The sequence below is a fragment of the Homo sapiens genome, chromosome 6 (genome assembly GCF_000001405.40).
Source record: "Homo sapiens chromosome 6, GRCh38.p14 Primary Assembly".
Lineage (NCBI taxonomy): Eukaryota > Metazoa > Chordata > Mammalia > Primates > Hominidae > Homo > Homo sapiens.
The window spans coordinates 139,239,351-139,260,746 of NC_000006.12; the positions used below are offsets into that span (position 1 = coordinate 139,239,351).

A 21,396-nucleotide genomic window follows, 5' to 3' on the forward strand; every position below is an offset into this window, starting at 1 on the left:
TGGGAGGTTGGTACTGAGAAACATATCAGCTGGGTGAGCACTGTCCACCAGCACTGCAGAGCCAGGCAGAGGAGTCTGGGTTTTGTTTTCTTATTAGCCCTGGGTACTCCGTTTCCAGTGCTTCTCTCTTATAGGCCTCAGTGACATTTTTTCTTTTTTTGAGACAGGGTCTCACTCTGTCACCCAGGCTGGAGCACAGTGGCATGATCATGGCTCACTGCAGCCCCAACCTTCCAGGCTCAAGCGATCCTCCTGCCTCAGCTTCCCAAGTGGCTGGGACCAGAGGCATGTGCCACTATGTCTGGCTAATTTTTTTAAAACATTTTTTGTAGAGATGGGGGTTTACTATGTTGCCCAGGCTGGTCTTGAACTCCCAGGCTCAAGTGATCCTCCCACCTTAGTTTCCAAAGTGCTGGGATTATAGGCGTCAGCTACCATGCCTGGCCTCCGTGATTTGTAACTGTAGCCTCATTGTTATTTCTCCCTCCCTTTCTCTCTCTGTCTCTCTCTGTCTGTCACATACACACACACACACCCCCGCCCCCAATATCTTCAAAGTGTTGACTACACGTAATTCTATTTAGTGACCAAAAACTTAATAAACTACAGAATAAAACCATAATTTTCATTAGGTATTGTCGAAACATAGAAGTAATAAAAACAAAAATAAAATAAGTCAAAGTTAAAAAAATAAAATGAGTACTAGAGAATTTGGGAAGAGAAGTACCTTTTTAATAGATATATAAATTATAGTTATTTAACTTAGAAAACAATAACTTTAGTGTTTCTAGAAAGTAGATGGCATTTCTAAAAAATAGTTACATACACTTGATAAAGAACAGACATTCCTTCTGAATTTAGAACTTTATGAGTTATTGTTATAATTAGTAAGGCTAAATTTTAACACAAAGGACTATAATAAAACATTCTTTGAATATTAAAATAATTCCCCCAAAACCTATATTAAGCTTTACAAATTTCAGACAAGTCATTCCATCTGAAACTCTGTCCAAGATATACATGGCTGTGAGTAATGTGTTTCTGTGAAAGTCTTTTGGATGAAAATAATGAACTTTGGGTTTTAGAATATTTGATTTACTGCCTTTGGGTTCCTCTGCTGCCTGTTTCTCTTGCTAAATATTCAGACTGAGACTTTACTATGACTAATCTTACTCCATTCTTGGACGTTCTGCCTCTGCAGTGGGGAAGGAGACCCTCCTGGATTATGGTGAATATTTAGCTCTGAATCAAATGAATGTTTAAATCTCTAAGACTTGCAGTAATGTTGAATTTGGCTGGATACCCTGTGGTTATAATATTTTAAGCCTTTAAAAATATACAGATTCTCAAATAGCGACAAGCTTTTTTCCTGATTTTTTTTCCTGCCTAGCAACTTTGTTATTATCCTCACTGTCTACTTCAAACAAACTGTATGCAGTTTACAATTCTTGTAGCATATGGTTGCTGCCTACAAGCACTTTGTGTGCCTTGGCAAACAGCCACATGCAACATTGAAGAATGGTTTCCTGGATGAGTACTAGAGAATTTTGTTTCTATCCATTTTTCTACTTGAGTTCAACTTTCAAGATAGGGTTGGGTTAGACATTGTTTCTTTCTTCCCTTCTCCCTCCTTCCTTTCTTCCTTCCCTTTCCTCTCTCTCCCTCTCTTCTTTCCTGTTTCATTGTTGCAGCTATCCTTTACCCTAGGTAATTTATGTTGTCAGTATCATTAGAGGTTCTCATCAAGCAATGTTAATGTAATACTCATGTTGACAACCCCAAGTGTTTCTAGCTTTTGCCTTCTCCTGAATCCTCACCTATATTTCAAATCATTTTGGTTAAAATCCATTGGTTTTTTTGTTTTGTACTTCTGGCCTAAAGAGAAATCCTCATGGCAGAAAACGTGTTGGTTTGTAAGCCTCATCACTGATATTGAGACCCAGTGTAGATTTGTGTTTTGGAAAAACAATAGCTTTATTTAGCATTAATTGAGATGAGGGCTGGGTGTAATTTCCTGCTACAAAGGAGAAATTGGGAAGGAAGGAGCAGAAGCTTTTAGAATATAGAATGGGTCTGACAGCAAGAGATGAATATTATGTCTTGAGACATTGGTAGTGCAAGAGGCAGGGGATCAAAGCACAGCCCCTTCTTAGTGTGAGGTCCCTTAACCCCTCAATCCCTAGCTCCCCTTTCCCACTTCCAACCGTTTCCTTGCAGGAAGCCTGGAATGGGATGCCCTGGCACATGAGGGGGTGGCAAAGCAATGGGCTGAGAAGTGTAGGAGAAGCAGCTCCAAGAGGTGAGCTTGTGTTTCTCTTTTCTGTTTTGGGCCCCTTGTGGTCATCTTTGTGTCCATGCTGTCTGCACAGATTGTAGTCTAACTGCTTTTCTGCCATTTGATCAACTGGTTGAATTCATTTATCTACCATTGGGTTACTTATTTTTGCCCAACATAATGATAGCCTAAATACTTATAGTCCGAACTCTCTTCGGATTTATAGAGCATTAGTCAACCATAGTCTCAAGTGCAAGTAAGAGATCATTTTTTTGATTAGCATCTAAATATTCTGCATTGAGAAAAATGCATTAAGGGGTGAGAGAAATGTATGTGTAATAATGCATTTATATATACATATAGATACGTGCATATATGTATATAAACAAATATTCACACATCTATACATACGTGTATATATACATATAATAAGTACACACGTATGTATATATTATGTATATGTATAGTTTAAATGTAACCTGGGCATCCATAAATTACTATGGAACTTGTTAAACTATATATCCAAATAAGCAGAACATCACATTTTCAGTATTTATATATTGCAGTGGAAGTCTTTAAACATCAAATCTTACTGGTGATTAACAAATTTAAGTATTATCTTAACAGAAAAGGAATATAAATTTGCTATCTGTATGTTTTGTTGCCCTTTGGGAAAATTATACTGTCAACCAGTGTTAAATAGAAAACCTTCAAATCAGCTATAAATTGACAACAAATAGCAAAGTCTGAATGAATGTGTTCTGCCTAACATTAAAAAATGTCTTGATCCTAAGTCTCTTCCATTTGACATCTCTAGCCCTTAATGCCTTTTTCGGAAGACAAGCTGTTATGCTGAATATGCAAAGAGGCAGGAAGAAGCCTCTGAAGGCACGGTGAGGCTTAGTCGACGCCTTCCAGATTGGTGTCAGCCACGTTGCGCGGCTGGGGCCCAGCTGAGGCCCCTACTGGCAGCTCCTCTGCTGCTGCTCGTGGGGGCTGCCTACTGGGCTCGCATGCAGGCACCATGGCTGCAACGTGCTCTTCTGCTGCGCATGCTGGAGCAGGCACATCTGCCTCCATCTTCTGTAGGGAGGCCTCGGTGGGAGCCTGTGGGGCCTGACCGGAAGCTTCTGCCTCTGGCTTCCAGGACGCCTGATCAGCCTGTGCTCCAACAGGGAGACCCTCGCATTGGGTTTCTGCTCCCAACCCGGCAGGAGAATTACTGGCCTTGGAGGGAGGTTCAGCATCACTGCCTCCTTCGGCTTCAGCCTGAGGAGTTAGGGGAGGCAGGGGACTCTCTGAATCCCGTGAAGGGATCAGAGGGGGTTGCTCTGGCTCCTTGAGAGCGGCGTCAGCACTCTCCTGAGAACTGCCTATTTCGGGTTGGGTTTCTTTGGACTGGTGCGGGGTTGACTCTGGATGATGAATTATCATGAAGGCTGTGGCCAGATTTTTCACGGCGGTTTGGACACTATTAACCTCCTCTGCGTCAATCTCTTGATCCACAGAGACGTTTGACTCTGGCTCTTCATCGGAGTTGTGCTGACTTTGGTCATCCTTTTCAGATATTTCTGCGTCTCTGATTTTTTTGTGGAGTTCGTTTCTCTCTTCTTGTAAAGCACGGCAGAGGTTCTCTAGCCTCCCGATTTTCATCACAAAGCACTCATATTCTTTAGCTCTCAGTGCTTTCTGTGATGTGAAAACACACGCACATACACACACAGATGAAATGACATGATAAGCAAAATGTCCAGGATGCTTTCTGGAAACAAGCAAAACTATTTGTCCCAGAATTTGTCTACTAGGCTCTGGGACCTGGCTACAGAGTAGGGGCTGAACAGATGCTTGGTCATGGACATCACTTTCCTTTTTTTTTTTTTTTTTTGGCATTGTGTACTAGACTGGTAGATTCTTTAATCACCATACCCTGTTCATTGGGAAAGAAAGATGGTCAGGCTTCCTTCTGCTTTGGTCCATAGCCTCTCAAATCTTATGGATGAATTTTCTGCTTCTGAGACTTAGAAGGTAGAAGCAAGACTTGCGGCAAGATAAATGAGATGGATTGGGACTTGGGTTTCAGCAATGCCTTCCTTATCTGTTCTATGAATAAACTGCTATGTGCTAATCCCAGCAGCCATTTGATTTATGTTGATGAGTAATATCTCTTTGGAATTGGTTGCAATTTGAGAAGAATTGTTAGAGCAGTAATTATAACCATAGAAATTCACCATATACTAATTCACGATGCTGGCTGCTCAAACGGTTCAGTTTTTTCCTCTAGAAATGTCTATTTGTGCATGAAAATGTTCCTAATTATCTCACTCCTTCACCTCACCTCTGAGCTACTCTGTCCCTTTGAGACCTTTTTTCCCCCACTCGTTATACATGGAGAGACCTTCACCTGTAAGCCCTACCTCTCAGGTCAGGGGCCATGTATCTTTGCCTTTGGACTCTCAAAACCTACTTGGAGCCTGGCATGAGATCAGTGTTTAAATGTCTATTGGAGGAATTAAAAAGATATCTCCATATCTGTTTATATTAGAAAATAGCACATGCACTGGACTCTTGGGCTGGTGTCTTCTCGCAGTATGTTCAAATCAACTAATTAATTTATTCAGCACCTGTTATGTGTCAGACACTGGGGAAATTTAAAGTAAAATAAGACACTCATCCTACCTTTAAGGAATTCACAGCCCTTAAAGGGGACAGCTGCCCTGGGTACAGCTATTGAATCAACAGGTAAGCATGTGACTTAGGGTCACAAAACTCTTTCTGAGTCTGGACCTGATTCTAAATGACCTTTGCTCTTATTATACTTATTACAATTTAAAATGTCACATCCTGCCACCCCAAATTCAACTCTTTTTCACACATAACCATTTGTACTATTACCAGGTTATAATTGTATCGTAAGTTTGAATGTTTTGACTAGACAGAGGGGATTAAAGCTAAGGGAGAAACTTCCTCACCTCTTCAATCATGTCCAACAGAGCTTTGTTACAGTTCTCAAATCGGGCTTTCCATGTGGCTGTGTCCTTTTCCAGCTTCTTCATTTTCTTAGTTGTCTACAGAAATTAGAGTGAGTGTGTGTTAATCTTGAAAAGTTAATATATCAAGGAAGCTATTAGCTCCATATGTGAGACCAGGAGAAGCCCTTTTGTTACCAGATGCTGAAGCAAACAAATGTTCAATGTCAAGAATGAAGATTGTAGCAGAGTCATAATTTATTTCTGAGCCGTCTAGGGCAGTGGCAAGCAAACTTATTTGCACCTGAGCCAATTCAGGAAATGGGAAATGACTTAGGGGCACATGGTTTTGTCACTGCTTTTTCTTTCATTTAAAAGAAGAATATCTTTATGGAGTTCCATGAACAAGCCTGTAATTTAGGATATTTACTGTATTGAATAGAAGACTATCACAGTGGGAAAGCTGGCATGGCCTTTTTAGCCATTAAAATGTTGATAATATCTGGGCACATCTGAGAAGTTGCTGCACAAAAGCAGTCTCTGTATTTTCTGGGTCTTTACATTTATAGAGTGAGGTAGAGTTCACAAAATGTGATTACATGCATTATTTGTTTCATCCTTGAAACAGTCCCACAAGGAAGGTTCTATTTTCACCCCCATTTTATAAATGGGGAAACCGAAGTTCGGAGAGGTAGAGTAATATTTAGGTGAATTAACAGAACAGTGGGGCTGCCATTCTTTTATTTCATTTAATGAAGCATATAGAATGTCTGGTGGTCACCAGGCCCTGGGCTGGGTACGAGGAAGTAAGAAGTGAATAAAATGCAGCCTGTGTTTTTCGAACCTGAGGCTACTCACATTCTTGTTTGTAGGATCTCTTCTTTGCTTAGATGAAGTGGAGAACGAGGCATGTACTCAGGTGCAGTTTTCCTGGATGAAACATAGCTGGGCACTCGCTGCTTGGTGCCAAGCTGCCTGAAGCTGGGTACCCACGGAGGCCAGAGGCTGGGCCCAAGACTGTCAGCCCCTGGCTCTACAGACAAGCTAGGTTTTTAATTTTGATCATATTTTAAATTAGTTAGTAGTTTGTAAACTTCTTTGTTTTCTTCTTTTTTGTTGTTGTTTGTTTTTCACTCTTTTGCCCAGGCTGGAGTGCAATGGCGTGATCTCGGCTCACTGCAAACTCTGCCTCCCGAGTTCAAGCGATTCTCCTGCCTCAGCCTCCTGAGTAGCTGGGATTACAGGCGCCTGCCACCATTCCTGGCTAATTTTTTTGTATTTCAGTAGAAACAGTGTTTCACCATGTTGGCCAGGCGGTCTTGAGCTCCTGACCTCAAGTGATCCACCCGCCTCAGCCTCCCAAAATGCTGGGATTGCAGGCATGAGCCACTGCGCCCAGCCAGTTGTTTGTAAACTTTAAGGTCATCAATCTTTTTAAGAATGTGGTGAAAGCTATGGGACCACACTTCACAAAAATGTGCATATGTGCATCATTTTTTTTTATGGTAATTTCTAGAGAGTTCTCAGGTCAACTACTAACGTCCATAAATGGACCCAAGATTAAGAACTCCTGATTTAATATTTATTCCACTCTTAAAACTACATAATTTTGAAAAACATGTTTTCCTGTTCTAATTTATTCCAATCTTAAAATGCTAGAATTTCAAAAAAAAATTAAGCAAATGGATAGTTCCATTCTGAAGTGGGAGAACTGTAACATTTAACAAGTGCCAATCTTCTTCAGGTTGCTCATTGTAAAATTTGTCATAATATTTTAAAAATATATTTTAAGAGGATGTTTTCTACACCTCAAAACCATTAATGCCAATCCCTGTTCGGAAACACAGTTCTGATGGCTGATTTTGTATTGGGAAGACACTGAACAAGCTTTAAACATTACATTAAATTATAATACTGGCACCTTATATTTGAAAAATACATGTAAAAAGTTAAAATCCCTTCCAAAATGTATTAATTTAACTTCACAATCTTGTGAGTTAGGCAGGGAAAGTAGTATCTGCATAGATTAAAAAAAATTAGAGGCCAGGCATGGTGGCTCATGCCTGTAATCCCAGCACTTTGAGAGGCCGTGGTGGGTGGATCACATGAGGTCAGGAGTTCGAGACCAGCCTGACCAACACGGTGAAACCCCGTCTTTACTAAAAATATAAAATTAACCGGACATGGTGGTGCATGCCTGTAATCCCAGCTACTCGGGAGGCTGAGGCAGGAGAATTGCTTGAACCCGGAAGGCAGAGGTTGCAGTGAGCCAAGATCGCACCATTGCACTCCAGCCTGGGCAACAAGAGCGAAATTCCATCTCAAAAAAAAAAAAAAAATTAGATTCAGGAAGTTAAGTGAATTGATGAGTAAGACCACTTGATGAGCAAGAACACACCAGAATTGAATTCAGGCTTCCATCTTCTCATTCAAGGCTCTGTCAGTTATATTACATTACATAAGTTAAATTCTCTTCTAAGAAGGTTCTTATAAGATGGTATTTCCTATTCTAACATTCTACTTTTGTATATTCATATAAAAGTTTTTTGGTTTTTTGTGTTTTTGTTTTGAGACAGATTCTCGCTCTGTTGCCCAGGCTAGAGTGCAGTGGCGTGATCTCACTCGCTGCAACCTCTGCCTCCCAGGTTCAAGCGATTCTCCTGCCTCACCCTCCTGAGTAGCTGGGACTACAGGCGCATGCCACCACGCCTGGCTAATTTTTGTGTTTTTAGTAGAGACAGGGTTTCACCATCTTGGCCAGGCTGGTCTCGAACTCCTGATCTTGTGATCCTCATGCCTTGGGCTCCCAAAGTGCTGGGATTACAGGCATGAACCACCACGTCTGGACAAAAGTTTTTGTTTTTTTTTTTTTAATTCTTAGAAGGTTATATTTTGAGTTCAGTATATACACCATCATGTTAAATTGCTAGCTCTGGTCTTCTTTTTTTTTTTTTTTTTTTTTTTTAAGTTATCCATGGGTTAGAAAAAGAACTATTCTTCTTCAGAGTGAAAATGAAACCTAGAATTTTTGGACTCCTGCTAAGATTAATTCACTAGATACTTACCAATTAAAAAATACAGCCCAAACCTCATTCCTACCTATAAACATTTCATTACTTTGTGAAATGCACCAAAATATCTTAGTGAGAGAAAAAGGAAACCAAAGGAAATTTGCCTGTCAAAATAGAAAATGTCAATATTTTGTTGGTGATAAGCAATACTCACTTTGTCCATTTCCTGTTTGAACGTGGCAAACACCTCGTTGCTTTTAGTTAGTGTGCTCTGGAATTCTTCAAACCTTCCTGAGTAGAGAGTGAGCTGTAAACAGAGGAAAGAGTGGATCTTTCAGAATACTTCCAGAAGAAAACATGTCATTGTTCATTATTTAAAGGAATTCTCAATATAGTATTAGTAATATGTTTAATTATTTTATTTACTACAAGATTAACCTAGGCCAGTGAGCATGATTGAAATGCTTCTTTAAAGAAAAATGGAAAAATAGTCTGGGCGCAGTGGCTCACGCCTGTAATGCCAGCACTTTGGGCGGCCAAGGCAGATGGATCACCTGAGGTCAAGAGTTTGAGACCAGGAGAATGGCGTGAACCTGGGAGGCGGAGCTTGCAGTGAGCCGAGATCGTGCCACTGTACTCCAGCCTGGGCGACAGAGCGAGACTCCGTCTCAAAAAAAAAAAAAAAAAGTTTGAGACCATTCTGGCCAACATGGTGAAACCCCGTCTCTACTAAAAATACAAAAATTAGCCGGGCATGGTGGTGGGCACCTGTAATCCCAGCTACTTGGGATGCTGAGGCAGGAGAATCGCTTGAACCCAGGAGGCAGGGGTTGCAGTGAGCAGAGATCACGCCATTACACTCCATCCTGGGCAACAAGAGCAAAACTCTGTCTCCAAAAAAAAAAAGAAAAAAATGAAAAAAGAAAATATGTTATTTCATTATATTAAAACTTTTATCAACATTGATTGAGTACTACATGCATGGACTGTATGTACAGAAGTATTTAACACATGGATCTGCATTTGAGGGACCTGCACTTCTAATGGGAAGACCATCTCAAAGACAACTTGACTATGGGACAATGGCTACATAGTCAAGTCAGTTAAGGACAGTGGGTGATCGGAGAAGGTGAGCATGGCAGGTGATCATGTGAGCCACATGTTTATGGAGAAGGTGAACCTGGAACTTGGTCTTGAAGGAAGGGAAAAAATAGACAAATGAAAAGACGTGATAAAGGCAATGTGGGCTGGACACGGACAAGGGCCATTGCCATGACACAGGTTGTACACCACTCTAGGCAGTTGCCATTTCTGTTTCAGACATCAGAGTTTTGTATGTTTATGAATATAGCATTCTAGCCAATAGCAGTTAAATGTCCCTTTTTATCAAAATCAGTTTATTACATCAGTTTTCCACAGATGGAAGTAATGAGTCTTGAAAAAGAGATGCCTTTTTCTAATTTGCAGAGAAGCATTGTATGGGTTAGCATTTGCCAAGTGTATGGCTCACCATGGAGATATAGCGAGGAGCATTTGTATCGCCAAGTCCTTAATTCAAGTGCTTGCATTCGGGGTGGAAATGGGGCAACACAGGGAAGGAGAGTGTGTAAATACTTGATCAGTGATATAATGACAGTGATAAAATAATAAAATCTTGTCTTTGAAAATAATATTAGGGTAGCATGTTTTGAATAAGAGAGGATTTAGTATGGATGATTCAGATTGGTCAAGCCTCAATTTTCAAATGAATCTTTGGTACTCTTGAGTGTCCAGAATAGTCCCAAGTCTTCAAATGGGTATAACATTTTCATACAACATAGTTTTTTGTATGAAGAAGCAGACTTGCAGCATCCGTCAATAAACAAGGGCCCTGGCTGCACTGGATAGACCAGGAAGGCTGGGTTATCAGCTGGAAGGAAGGCACCGACCGGTGTTATCAGTGAGACTGTCTTTTTTAAAGTACAGAAAGCACCCTGAATGAAAGCTGGCAGATTGGAGAGTTTCCAGTCTTGGGGTGTGGGTGTGAGAGGGAGTATGTATGAGTCAAACAACCCCTAGAGCCCAGAAAATTGCTTATCTAGAATGGGTTTTCCCCAATAATTTGGAGTAGTAGAGATTTTACTGCAGTAGACAGCAATAACATAAATCATTTCGGTAGAATACAGATTATCCAAAGAAAAGCCAAATGACAGCTGATTATCATTTTGAATTCTCTCATTAGTACTGTATGTGACAGAACCGAAATTTGTTTCTCATGATTCCTTGACACACAGATTAAAGAAGACAGAGTAAAGGGGCATCAAGGAATTCATGGCCAAGAAGGGGCTCTAGGGTTTTACACACACAGAGAGACACACACACTCTGTCTCTCACACACACACGCATGGTGCATAAGACAATGTTTACTGTGGTTTTTTTTTTCTTTCTTTTAAGAGACAGTCTGATTCTGTCACCCAGGCTGGAGTGCAATTGTGTGATCCTAGCTCACTGCAGCCTCAACCTCCTGGGCTTAAGGGATCCTCCTGCATCAGCCTCCAGAGTTGCTAGGACTACAGGCACATGCCCCATGTCTGGCTTTTTTTTTTTTTTTTTTTTAACACAGGCTGGTCTCAAACGCCTGGCTTCAAGCAATCCTCCTGCCTCAACATCCCAAAGTGTTGGGATTACAGGCATGAGCCACTGTACCCAGCCAATCATGTGCAATGCACTCTGACATATTCTGTTCAACTGTGTTTTTTCTTTCTTTCTTTCTTTCTTTTTTTTTTTTTTTTTTCAAAATACTGGCTGGAATCCACTGTGGGCCAGAATTAATTTCAGGGCCCACAAATGGGTCAGACCTCTTGGTCTGAGACACTGTGCCCTAGGGTTAGCTCCTGGGGACTGGCTACCTATCCTGTACATCATCCATTGGCCTAGGGTGGGAACAACTACCCCCAGCAGATCCTGGTCACCTTCTATCACAAAATCTTTTCATTTGTATTCTCAGCCCGGCCTCTTTTGTTAACTTTTTTCCTTAATTTCTCCCCATTCTTTTTCCAACTTATCAGTAACTCTAGCAGAGTTACATAGAGGCCTCAGACACTGTGGTCTCCTCAGCTGGTCCTCCCGATCCCTCTTGCAGCCCTGTAGTTGCAGGCTGCAGACAGACGGGGCAGGAGTGAGCACATGTCTGGTCCATCTCACAGATGCAGCCTTGCTGGAATCAGCAAGAACAACCACCCCCAGGACTTCAGCCTCAACATGAGCTAACAGGCATTAAAAGCCCTCAGGTTTGATTGTCTTCACTTAACTGGGTAAGGCTGTCACCATGTCTTACTTTTCCATGTGTACCTGTTATATTTTTTCATTATGTCTCAAAGTAAAGGCTTTAAAAAAGAAAAAGGCAGAATGTTCTTTGTGGTGTATTAATTGGGCAGATTTTGTTTCCTTTTCTTATGTTTTCTTGTTGCTGGCTCATGAGCATGGAGAAGACAGACACACCCAGAGTTCTGAGAAGTAGTGTCTTGATTCATCACCAGCTCTTCTGTGCTTTTTCTAGTTATGGTTTTCATTTTTGCTTTCTATTAAAAAAATTAATTGTAGTAAAATACACATAGCACAAAAGTTACCATCCTAACCATTTTTAAGTGTATAGTTCAGAATTGCTAAGTATATTTCCAGTGTGGTGCAACCAATCTCTGGAACTTTTTCCATCTTGCAAAATGGAAACTTTATACACATTAAACAACAATTCCCTATTTCTTCCTTCCAGTGACCAGTCTAACATTTTGCTTTTCTTCCTATTTGACCTCTCTGTCTGGTGGCAAAAACTATGGATTTCTCAGATAACTCTAACACTCTCCTACTTACTAAATGTTTGTGCTTCTTGTTTACTAAATGGATATTTGTTTGGTAGCGTCTTCCCTCTCACTATCGTGCTGACAGGATACATGTTTGGTTTCATGTGTCATATTCCCAGTCTCACTTTGGTATTTCACAGAGCCAGGGAAGGACATCCAGAGGTCATGCACAGCATTTCCCCTGCCAGAGGCAGAAATAGAAACAAACTCTTCTATGATTAGAACAACAACAAAAATTGCCTCAATATTTCACTTTTAAATGGGCCAAGTGACAAACACAGTCTTTTCACTGAGCACCAAATTTTAATTACAGACACTCATAGACATGGGAAACAACTGTGTCCAGGAATCATCTTGGTGAACCTGTGAGATTTGGTTTGGGAGTTAAGTCCTATGACAAGAACAGGTGCAGCAGTGCTCTCCTCTCACCCTGTAGAGGTATGGGGAGGACTTCAGACTTTAAAGACTCTGATTACATGCTTTCCACAATTTACCCACTCATCTTTCCCCTTGGGTAGTATTTTGCGTCCACATCAGATATTGCTGACTTCCCACATCTGCTACTGTCTTCATCCTTGTTGATCCAATGAACACTCGATTTTGTAGTGACAATTGTATCCCATTGATCATCTCTGACATTTATTCTGTTGCCTTGGCTTGTATAATTGAAAGCCAGACATCGCTTCCCTAAGTGAGAAGCCTGCCCCCAATTGGCCAGCAGTTGTCTTATGACTGAAAAGTGACTTCTCTAGGAAAATAACACAATCTGTCCTTGATAATTCTGTTGCCCAGACCTTAGAAATGGGGCCTTGGCCTTGGCCTCCTGCTACTCCCACCCCTTTAAAGGCAGCGTAAAACCAAAGGAAGTGTTGGAGTGTTATGCAAAAGAATCTGTGATAGAGTTTGTTTTCAAAGTTTAGAAGTTTTAGAAATATAATGTTGATACTTTTTAATGAGGAGCTTGTTTAAACATGATTACGCATAGGGATTCAGGACCTCTATTTTATTCTTGAGGCTTAAGTAATTATTGGAATTTCAAAGGTAACTTGGAGACAAAAAAGAAAGACAAAGGAGGGTTCTTGCAATTAGTGAGGCTGCCTGCACTGTGGAACACTGCAGGCAATGGACAAGGCGGGGTCAACTTAGCTTAGGGCCACACTTCTTCAGCTCTGGAAGTTCTCTATGCTCATGAACTACAGCTGAATAGCATCTTGAGATCATCTTTTCCAGCGGTTCTTCAACTTTTTTGCAACTTAAGACTCCTGTTGGGCCGGGCGCAGTGGCTCACGCCTGGAATCCCAGCACTTTGGGAGGCCGAGGTGGGCTGATCACGAGGCCAGGAGATCAAGACCATCCTGGCTAACACGGTGAAACCCTGTCTCTACTAAAAATACAAAAAATTAGCCGGGTGTGGTGGCAGGTGCCTGTAGTCCCGGCTACTCGGGAGGCTGAGGCAGGAGAATGGCGTGAACCCCGGGAGGTGGAGCTTGCAGTGAGCTGACATCATGCCACTGCACTCCAGCCTGGGCAACAGAGTGAGACACCGTCTCAAAAACAAACAAAAAACTCCTGTTGTCTCATATTTCCTTCTCATATTTCCATATTTCCTTATATGAAATCCTTACCTATGAAATAATACTACTAGTTCATACACTAATTAATAGTCAAGCAGAGATTTTTCTCTCTCTTATTGATGATTATATCGCCAAACCTAGAACCATGCCTAGCACTTAGTAGATGCTCAGTAAATATTGGTTGAATTAATTATGCTTATTTTGGGCCAGACACTGAGCAAAATGCTTTGGATGCATGATTTGAAAACCAACTACATATATTACATATGCATTAACTGATTTTCCTTTTAAAAACTTAAACATAGGCATAATTTCCATCCACAGTTGCTGAGCAAGAGGTGAAGTAATACCAGAAACAACTACATTTTAGATAGTAGCTGCTACCTTATGTGCTGATGTTTTGGAAACGCTGAAAAGTCATAGGCCTCTCAGGGGTTGCACGACTCCAGGCTGGGGTCATTGATTCATTATAGCATTTTCATTTTGCAGACAAGGAAATTTAGTTCCATAGAGGTTTAGGTGGGTTACACAGGGTCACACAGCTTCTCGGTAAAAGAGCCAGGACTCTGACCTGGTGCCTTGACTCAGGGATGAATGAGGAACAATAGCAAATCTAGAACCCCTGGTTGATGGTTTTTTAAGTTTGAGGGGGTATAAGGGGGAAATTAGATCAAAACTTTAATATTTGTATTGTACAGGTCATTAAAGGCCTCGATTCTGATGCCAGCTGAGTGAATCACTCTGTAGCCCACAGTTTAACAATGTAATCTACTCTGCTCAAGTTGATTGTCTTCATTTTGCATGGAGGAGTAGAGATTGCATGTAGCAGATGATGTGAACAGTGCACAGCTTCAAGTATTATTTATTGTTCCCCTCAAGGCTCTGTGTGGTGAATGAGGCACAGATAGAATTAGAGGCCTTGGCTTGATTCCTTGAGGTCACACCCCCTTTCCTTCTGCTAGACAGCCAGCAGTCAGCCACCCACCCTACACCATGATGTGATGAGTTCCGTGACTGCCTAAAGGATGATCTTGAGTTTGTAACTCTGGGCCCTTTGCTTCAGACACATTATGGTTCTAACTTCTATGTATCTAGTGTATTAAGACAATTCTTCTTTATTATCAGAGAGTAGTTCATACTGGAGAAAATAATTTATTATTGCTTTGCTATATATGCATTGCAGAAATATACTTTAAGAAGGCTAGATATGAAAATGTTCCCTGTATTTTTGTCTGTGCAGTAGTATAATCTGTGATTTTAAATTTCTTATTTGCTTTTTTCTTTTACAATGAACACGATTTGTGTGTGTGTGTGTGTGTGTGTGTTTACAGTGAACAAGTACTCAGCTGTCAGCATATAAACATTTACAAATCTTAAATTAATGCTGCCCAGCTTGGAAGGTTTCTGATTTCCTTGCCTTCGGTGAATTTCTCCCTGTGACCTCACAGTCCCTTTAGCACTTGGGTGTTTCCCAGGGCAGTGGAAGTCTGTGGCCTGTGGCAGGATGGTACTCCTGGAACCCACAGGGACCATTATTTAGGACAGGCAGAGCCCCAGGTAGGGGTAAGATGGGTAGGTCTGGCTTTCTTCCAGAGTCAGCTGTGGCATAAATGTCCAGAATGGTCCCCCCTTTTTTTGAGTCTGAAATAGGAACCCCCAGAGTCTAACAGAAGCACATAAAAGTTGTCACGCAGCCAAACCAAAATGGTTCCTGACTTGCCTGACACTTGTATCCATTCACCACTGACAAGGCCAACCTCTGATGGCATAGAAACTTGAGTGGTGACTATTTTTCTCATTTTCTTTTCTTTTCTTTCTAAACAGATGGAGTCTCACTCTGTCGCCCAGGCTGGAGTGCAGTGATGTGATCTCGGCTCACTGCAGCCTCCGCCTCCTGAGTTCCAGTGACTCTCCTGCCTCAGCCTCCTGGGTAGCTGGGATTACAGGCACATGCTACCACGCCTGGCTAATGTTTATATATTTTTTAATAGAGACGGGGTTTCACCATGTTGGTCAGGCTGGTCTCGAACTCCTGACCTCAGGCGATCCGCCCGCCTGGGCCTCCCAAAGTGCTGACGTTACAGGTGTGAGCCACTGCGCCCGGCCTCATTTTCTTTTTATGATAAATAATATCAAGACATGAGGACATCTTAAGAATCGCCAGTCATAGATGGTGCATCTGAGCAGTTTACGTTTTCTTCTTACCTTAACAGGGCAATGAGAGGGGAAGTACGGTGGAAATAAGAAGTGCTAGATGGGAACCTGGACACTGGCTGACTCTCTTGACCACTGTACTGTCATCCATTGTCTGTCAACAAACCTTTGACTGGATGTTGCCGGCGCAGAACATTTCTTTTTCATAGATATAATATTGTGCTTTTATTTTTACTTGAAAATATGAATAAATGTGAAGTTGTTCTTCATTTCCAATTCCCATCCCCCCATCCCCTGCCACATAGGAGGACTTCTGCTGCCCACCTTTGGCCCCAGCCTTTTTATCTGGGGACAGTGAGGACAGCACCCCCATGCCTCGTCCACCTGGCCTCACCTGAGCCTGCAGGACTGTCTCTTGCTCCTTCAGCACTTTCGCCTGAAGTTTCCACTCTGCTGCCTGGTTCAGCAACTATGAGAAGAGAGAGTGTGTGGAAAGATGGTCAGATTTGCCTTTTAGATTACTATTTGGCTGTAATTTGTCTACAAAACTTAGCAACCTGCTCATTAACCTCCTTAAGTAATTTTTTGGAACTTTGAAAAGAATCTAAGAAAGCTTAAAAAACCAGGCCCAGCATGGTGGCTCATGCCTATAATCCCAGCACTTTGGGTGGCTGAGCTGGGAGGATTGCTGGAAGCCAGGAGTTTGAGAACAGCCTGGGCTATATAGGGAGACCTTGTCACTGAAAAAAAAAAAAAACCAAAATTAGTCAGGGGTGGTGGTGCATGCCCGCAGTCCCAGCAACTCGAGAGGCTGAGGCAGGAGGATCACTTGAGCCCAGGAATCCCAGGTTGCAATGAGCTATGATGGCACTGCTGCACTCTAGCCTGGGCAATAGAGTGAGACTCCATTTCTAAAAAAATAAAGAAAAAGAAAGCTAAGAAAATAATTGGTCTAAAAAAGTTGGATTCTCAACTATAAACTAGTGGTTTTAATAAAAAAAATAGTCTCTAGCTCAAGTATGAATCACAAAAAATTCAACTTCCCACCACATTCTGGAACCTTCTCTAGTAATCTTGGCCAACAATCATTCAGCCTCTGCTGGAACCTCTCCAGAACATCCCCACTTGGTGCACTTTTGTTAGCAACTGTTTCTTTTCTTTTTTCTTTTTTTTCTTTGAGACGGAGTTTCTCTTTTGTCGCCCAGGCTGGAATGCAGTGGTGTGACCTCAGCTCCCTGCAACCTCCGCCTCCTGGGTTCAAGCAATTTTCCTGCCTCAGCCTTCTCAGTAACTGGAATTACAGACACCTGCCACCATGCCCAGCTAATTTTTGTATTTTTACTAGAGACGGGGTTTTGCCATGTTGGCCAGGCTGGCCTCCAACTCCTGACCTCGTGATCTGCCCGCCTCGGCCTCCCAAAGTGCTGGGATCATAGGCGTGAGCCGCCGTGCCCGGCCAACAACTGTTTCTTTAGAGTACATCCAGAATCATTCTCCTAGACCACTGTTCTCCACCATAGCACACTTGATACAATAAGAACTATGTATGTCCTTGGTCTTTGTCCCTGATTCCTGACACAGAGCTTCTAACATGCATCAGAATCTCCTACGGAACATATTAAAAATGCAGATGCCTCTCAGATAATATGATTTAGGAAGTACAGAGTGTGACTGAATTCTATGCTTCAAGAAAATACCCAAAATGGTCTGGATATCGGTGGCCTGTGGATTACATTTTGAGAAGTATGGGTTAGAAGTTTGACCTATTGGTCTAAATCCTGGCCCCTGAGAGCTGATGGGTTAAATTGGAAAGGGGATTTGGGCATACAATGACACATTCATATATAAGCTTGTAATTTTAACTTAAGATGAATGCCTATTTATCAATTTTGAGGTAGGGCTGTGGTCTTTGTTTTGGGTATGGATCTTCTGATTAGAGTTCAGAGGGTTTTTTGTTTGGTTTTTATTATTATTTTTAAAAATCACATCCACAGTGTGCCATGTAAGATTTCTAGGTTGTTAGGCTTGTGTGTGTGTGTGTTTAGCGATAGTGCTAGAACCTAAAAATACTTATGAAGCAGCTTGTCTGGATAATTCTCTAGAGTTTTCCACTTCCCCCCAGTCTTTTATAGCTACTCATATCTAGTTTGACAGTTGTTTTTTGCCATTTGCTTGCATTTGGTCTTTCAAAGCACTAAGCATAATTTGCACAAACAGTTTTTTGTTTTCATACTTATATTTCATCAGTTTATGTAACATCCTGTTGATTTACACAAAAGCAAGTGCAATTGGAAAGAAAAGGTTTGTGCAAAGAGCTGATTCTTGGTAAGCTCCACCTTACTAAACTGGGGCAAATTTTGTAGCCCTTCCAGAGAGTGGCTGGGTAGACCTGCAAGTCAGCATGCTGTGGGCATCGGTCAGTGCGTTTTACAGAGAAAACAGTGAACGCAGAGATCAATCTGGCTAGTCAGTCTGGAGGCTATCAATTAAGAAGTTTCTCTTGTATTTGAAGATAAGCTGATTAAAATTTCCCACTTTTAGTTTATCCCTATTGTAAAAAAAAGTCCACGAGGTCTATGTATTATATAATCAGAACCAAAAAAACTAACAATAAAATCATTACTTTTAAAAACTGGAAAGCTTCTTTTTCCTCATCTAAGTTTGTCTTTTTCCCATGACCCAGCCTCTCCATTTGTAAAATGGGTTGCATTTGTTCCTCTATGCCTCCCAGGGTGCAATGAAGATTGATTCTCATAGAAGTGCAACCAAATGGTCCTATGAGAGGACTGGGGCAGCTGTGGAGTAGAAGCCCTACAGTGTCCCCTCTGGCCATCTGAGGGGAGTGGTGGCACTGTGCCTGCTTCTTGTGAGCTGGCTATGCAGCTTTGTTGTGATTGGTGACCCCCAACCTCGAGGGAGGCTGGTGGCTGCCTATTCTGCCTGGGTGACTTGATATCTCATCGCTTCCAAAAGGAGGTGCCCCAGCTGCAAGCCAGGTAGGTGGCTAGCTTCGAAGAAGTGAGATGAGCTCCCTCTCTTTGACTCAAATCTGTTTTGCTGAACCAAAACAGGTGCTAGTTTCTTGCTAAGGCTGGGTCGTCTCAAATCTGCTCTCCAATGTCTCTCATGTGCATCTTTGTCTTGTTCTTTCTCTTTCATGTCTCGTGTTATACAGCAAAGTACCAATATACTATGGGAAGCATATTTTACCCAAGAAGGTAATTACACCAATGGTGGAATTTCTATTCTCTTGGATTGTGAATAATAATTGAATGTTTTATTTCTTGCTTTCAGAGCTAGGTTGTAGATGGATTTCATAAATTAATCTTTTTCTTAAGAGAACATGGACTTCTGATTTGAAATTATCCAATGTCCACCAGATTATGTTGCTCAAAATTTGTCTTTTTGTTGCCATGTTTGAAAATTTATTTTAAAATTACTATTCTAATCAACTGAATTGATTCTGGTCTGATTTTAGGTAAATGAAAATCTCAAGATCAAAATGTGACATGGCCAAATTTGAATAAGTGGTCCATGGACCATGTTTTACCTCTCTCTCACCCCAGCAACAGATACATGCGTCAACTCATACCTCTGAAACACACGTCTGAGTGTGATGCACCGTCACAGAGAGTGTGGGCTTTGGGAACAGACGCACATAAGATCAAAACACATCTTGCTCAGTCAGCAGTGTGCAACCTTAACAAGTTGCGTATCTTCTTGGAGCCTCAATTCTCTCATCTGTAGAATGACCCTACAGCTTTTTGGGGAGTGCTTGGGGTTAATGAGATATCAATAAACACCACCACTCAGTTTCCTCAGCCCAAAACTTAGGAGTCATCCTTGACTTTCTCCTTTTCTCTTTGTCACCAGCTTCAGGTCTGTAGCACTGTCTGTTGATTTCACATTGAAAACAACTTTCATCCATCTCCACCCCTCTTCTCTGCTGCCATATCCCTAAACCAAGTCATCATCATATTTCATCTGATTGCTATAGTAGCCTCCTGTCTTCTTGCTCTCTTGTCCCTCTGCAGTCTATTTTCCATCCAGGAGCCAAATTAATCTTAGAAAATGCAGAGCAGATCATGCCATCACTTCCTTTGCAGAAGCACCCAGTACTTTCCCATTGTATTTAGAATGAAATCCAAATAACTTTTTAAGCCCTACAAAGCTACACAGTTTGGCACCTGCTTACCTCTCCAACTTCATTTTGAACCTCTCCCCCATGCTCTTGCTTCCCTGACCTTTTCCTGTTTCTGGAGCACACCAAATTGGTTCCAGCATTAGGGCGTTTGTTGCTGCTGCAGATGCTGGAGACGATGCTCCAAGTAGCAGCTCCTCATCTGGCAGGGCTTAGCTCAAGCATTCGCCCCTCCAGGAGGCCTTCCTGGTCACTCAATCTAAAGTACGTCCCCTTCTTTGGCCCCTTCTCAGTTTCTCCTTACTTCCTTAGTAGTGGTGATTATTGTCTGAAATGACCCTTCCCTGTTTGCTTGTCTATTGCTTGTCTCTTTCCAGTTAGACTCTAATCTCCATAGTGGGAGATGCCCCTTCTCTGTCTTGTTCACGGCTATGTCCCCGCACCTAACACGGTGCTTAGTAGATAACAGGCACTTGAAAAATATGTGTGGAATAGATGAATGACTATTTTATGTAGAAAGTAGTGTAGACATAGTGCCTCAGACTGGGCTGGCTAATTTAGTTCTCCATAGAAGCTGGGGCTCTTTCTCCATCAGTCTAGTGCTCTTTGACCATTATAAAAACAACTTGCGTCCAGGCGCGATGGTTCACACCTGTAATCCCAGCACTTTGGGAGGCCGAGGAAGGCGGATCACCTGAGGTCAGGAGTTCAAGACCAGCCTGGCCAACATGGTGAAACCCTGTCTCTACTAAAAATACAAAACAAGTAGCCTGTTGTGGTAGTGGGCACCTGTAATCCCAGCTACTTGGGGAGGCAGGAGAATCGCTGGAATCCTGGAGGCTGAGGTTGCAGTGAGCTGAGATCACGCCACTGCATTTCAGCCTGAATGACAGAACGAGACTCTGTCTCAAATAAATAAATAAATAAATAAATACAAAACAACTTGCTCAGAGTGTCTCTGACACTGAGGTAGACCAGATATGCACAACGACTAAAATGATAAATACATATTCCTTTTCTCGTTTGTGTCGCTCCTCCGCTTCCTTCATCATTTCTTGGGCCTGCTCAAGCTTTGCATCCACCAGCTTCTGCTGCAGTTCTCTGTGTTTAAATATTTTGTCCAGATGCTAAGAAAAATAAAGTGTACATAGAAAGCTTGGTTTATTATTGGTGCTTAAAAATGCAAAGTAAAATAATTCACATTAATACACATTCCCCAGGTTTTAAGATTTAAAAGAAGAGAGGGATAAATGCATTGGCATCACTTACAGCTTTATAATAAAGCTGTAAATTGGTGAACCCCTCCCCCTGACTTTGCACCACACACACAAAGCTAGCTATAAAAGGTAGAGGCACCAGAGTTCAGCAGTGTCAATGCCAAAAGATCCATACAATATTTTTCTACGTTTGGTAACTATTAGATATGATGCTATTTA

General features: G+C 41.7%; 1 protein-coding gene across 11 annotated transcripts in view, besides 3 other annotated features; it reads right to left on the minus strand.

Moving 5' to 3' along the window:
- Positions 1–21,396, minus strand: part of TXLNB (taxilin beta) — a 164,789-nt gene that overhangs the window by 80,189 nt on the left and 63,204 nt on the right. For 6 of the 11 annotated variants that reach the window (XM_005266836.2, XM_047418253.1, XM_024446341.2 and 3 more), the window contains 5 exons: positions 20,968–21,087; positions 16,214–16,288; positions 8,467–8,559; positions 5,245–5,340; positions 711–3,964 (listed from right to left, as the gene is read on the minus strand). In XM_005266836.2, coding sequence (XP_005266893.1) covers positions 3,176–3,964; positions 5,245–5,340; positions 8,467–8,559; positions 16,214–16,288; positions 20,968–21,087 — 1,173 coding nt within the window. In that variant the 3' untranslated portion in view covers positions 711–3,175. Of the gene's footprint in view, positions 1–710; positions 3,965–5,244; positions 5,341–8,466; positions 8,560–16,213; positions 16,289–20,967; positions 21,088–21,396 lie in introns of those variants that run through there. The other 5 variants (XR_007059217.1, XR_007059220.1, XR_007059216.1 and 2 more) reach the window with 1 other exon arrangement.
- Positions 2,794–3,319: an enhancer, noted in NCBI's record as "H3K4me1 hESC enhancer chr6:139563281-139563806 (GRCh37/hg19 assembly coordinates)". NCBI's record gives its function as "activates a minimal SCP1, AML or CMV promoter by ChIP-STARR-seq in primed H9 embryonic stem cells {active_cell/tissue: H9 hESC(primed)}" and the evidence as "EXISTENCE:reporter gene assay evidence [ECO:0000049][PMID:30033119]".
- Positions 3,320–3,845: an enhancer, noted in NCBI's record as "H3K4me1 hESC enhancer chr6:139563807-139564332 (GRCh37/hg19 assembly coordinates)". NCBI's record gives its function as "activates a minimal SCP1, AML or CMV promoter by ChIP-STARR-seq in primed H9 embryonic stem cells {active_cell/tissue: H9 hESC(primed)}" and the evidence as "EXISTENCE:reporter gene assay evidence [ECO:0000049][PMID:30033119]".
- Positions 11,222–11,516: a silencer, noted in NCBI's record as "tiled region #11439; HepG2 Repressive DNase matched - State 12:CtcfO, and K562 Repressive non-DNase unmatched - State 12:CtcfO". NCBI's record gives its function as "represses a minimal TATA promoter and a strong SV40 promoter by Sharpr-MPRA in HepG2 and K562 cells {active_cell/tissue: HepG2 | K562}" and the evidence as "EXISTENCE:reporter gene assay evidence [ECO:0000049][PMID:27701403]".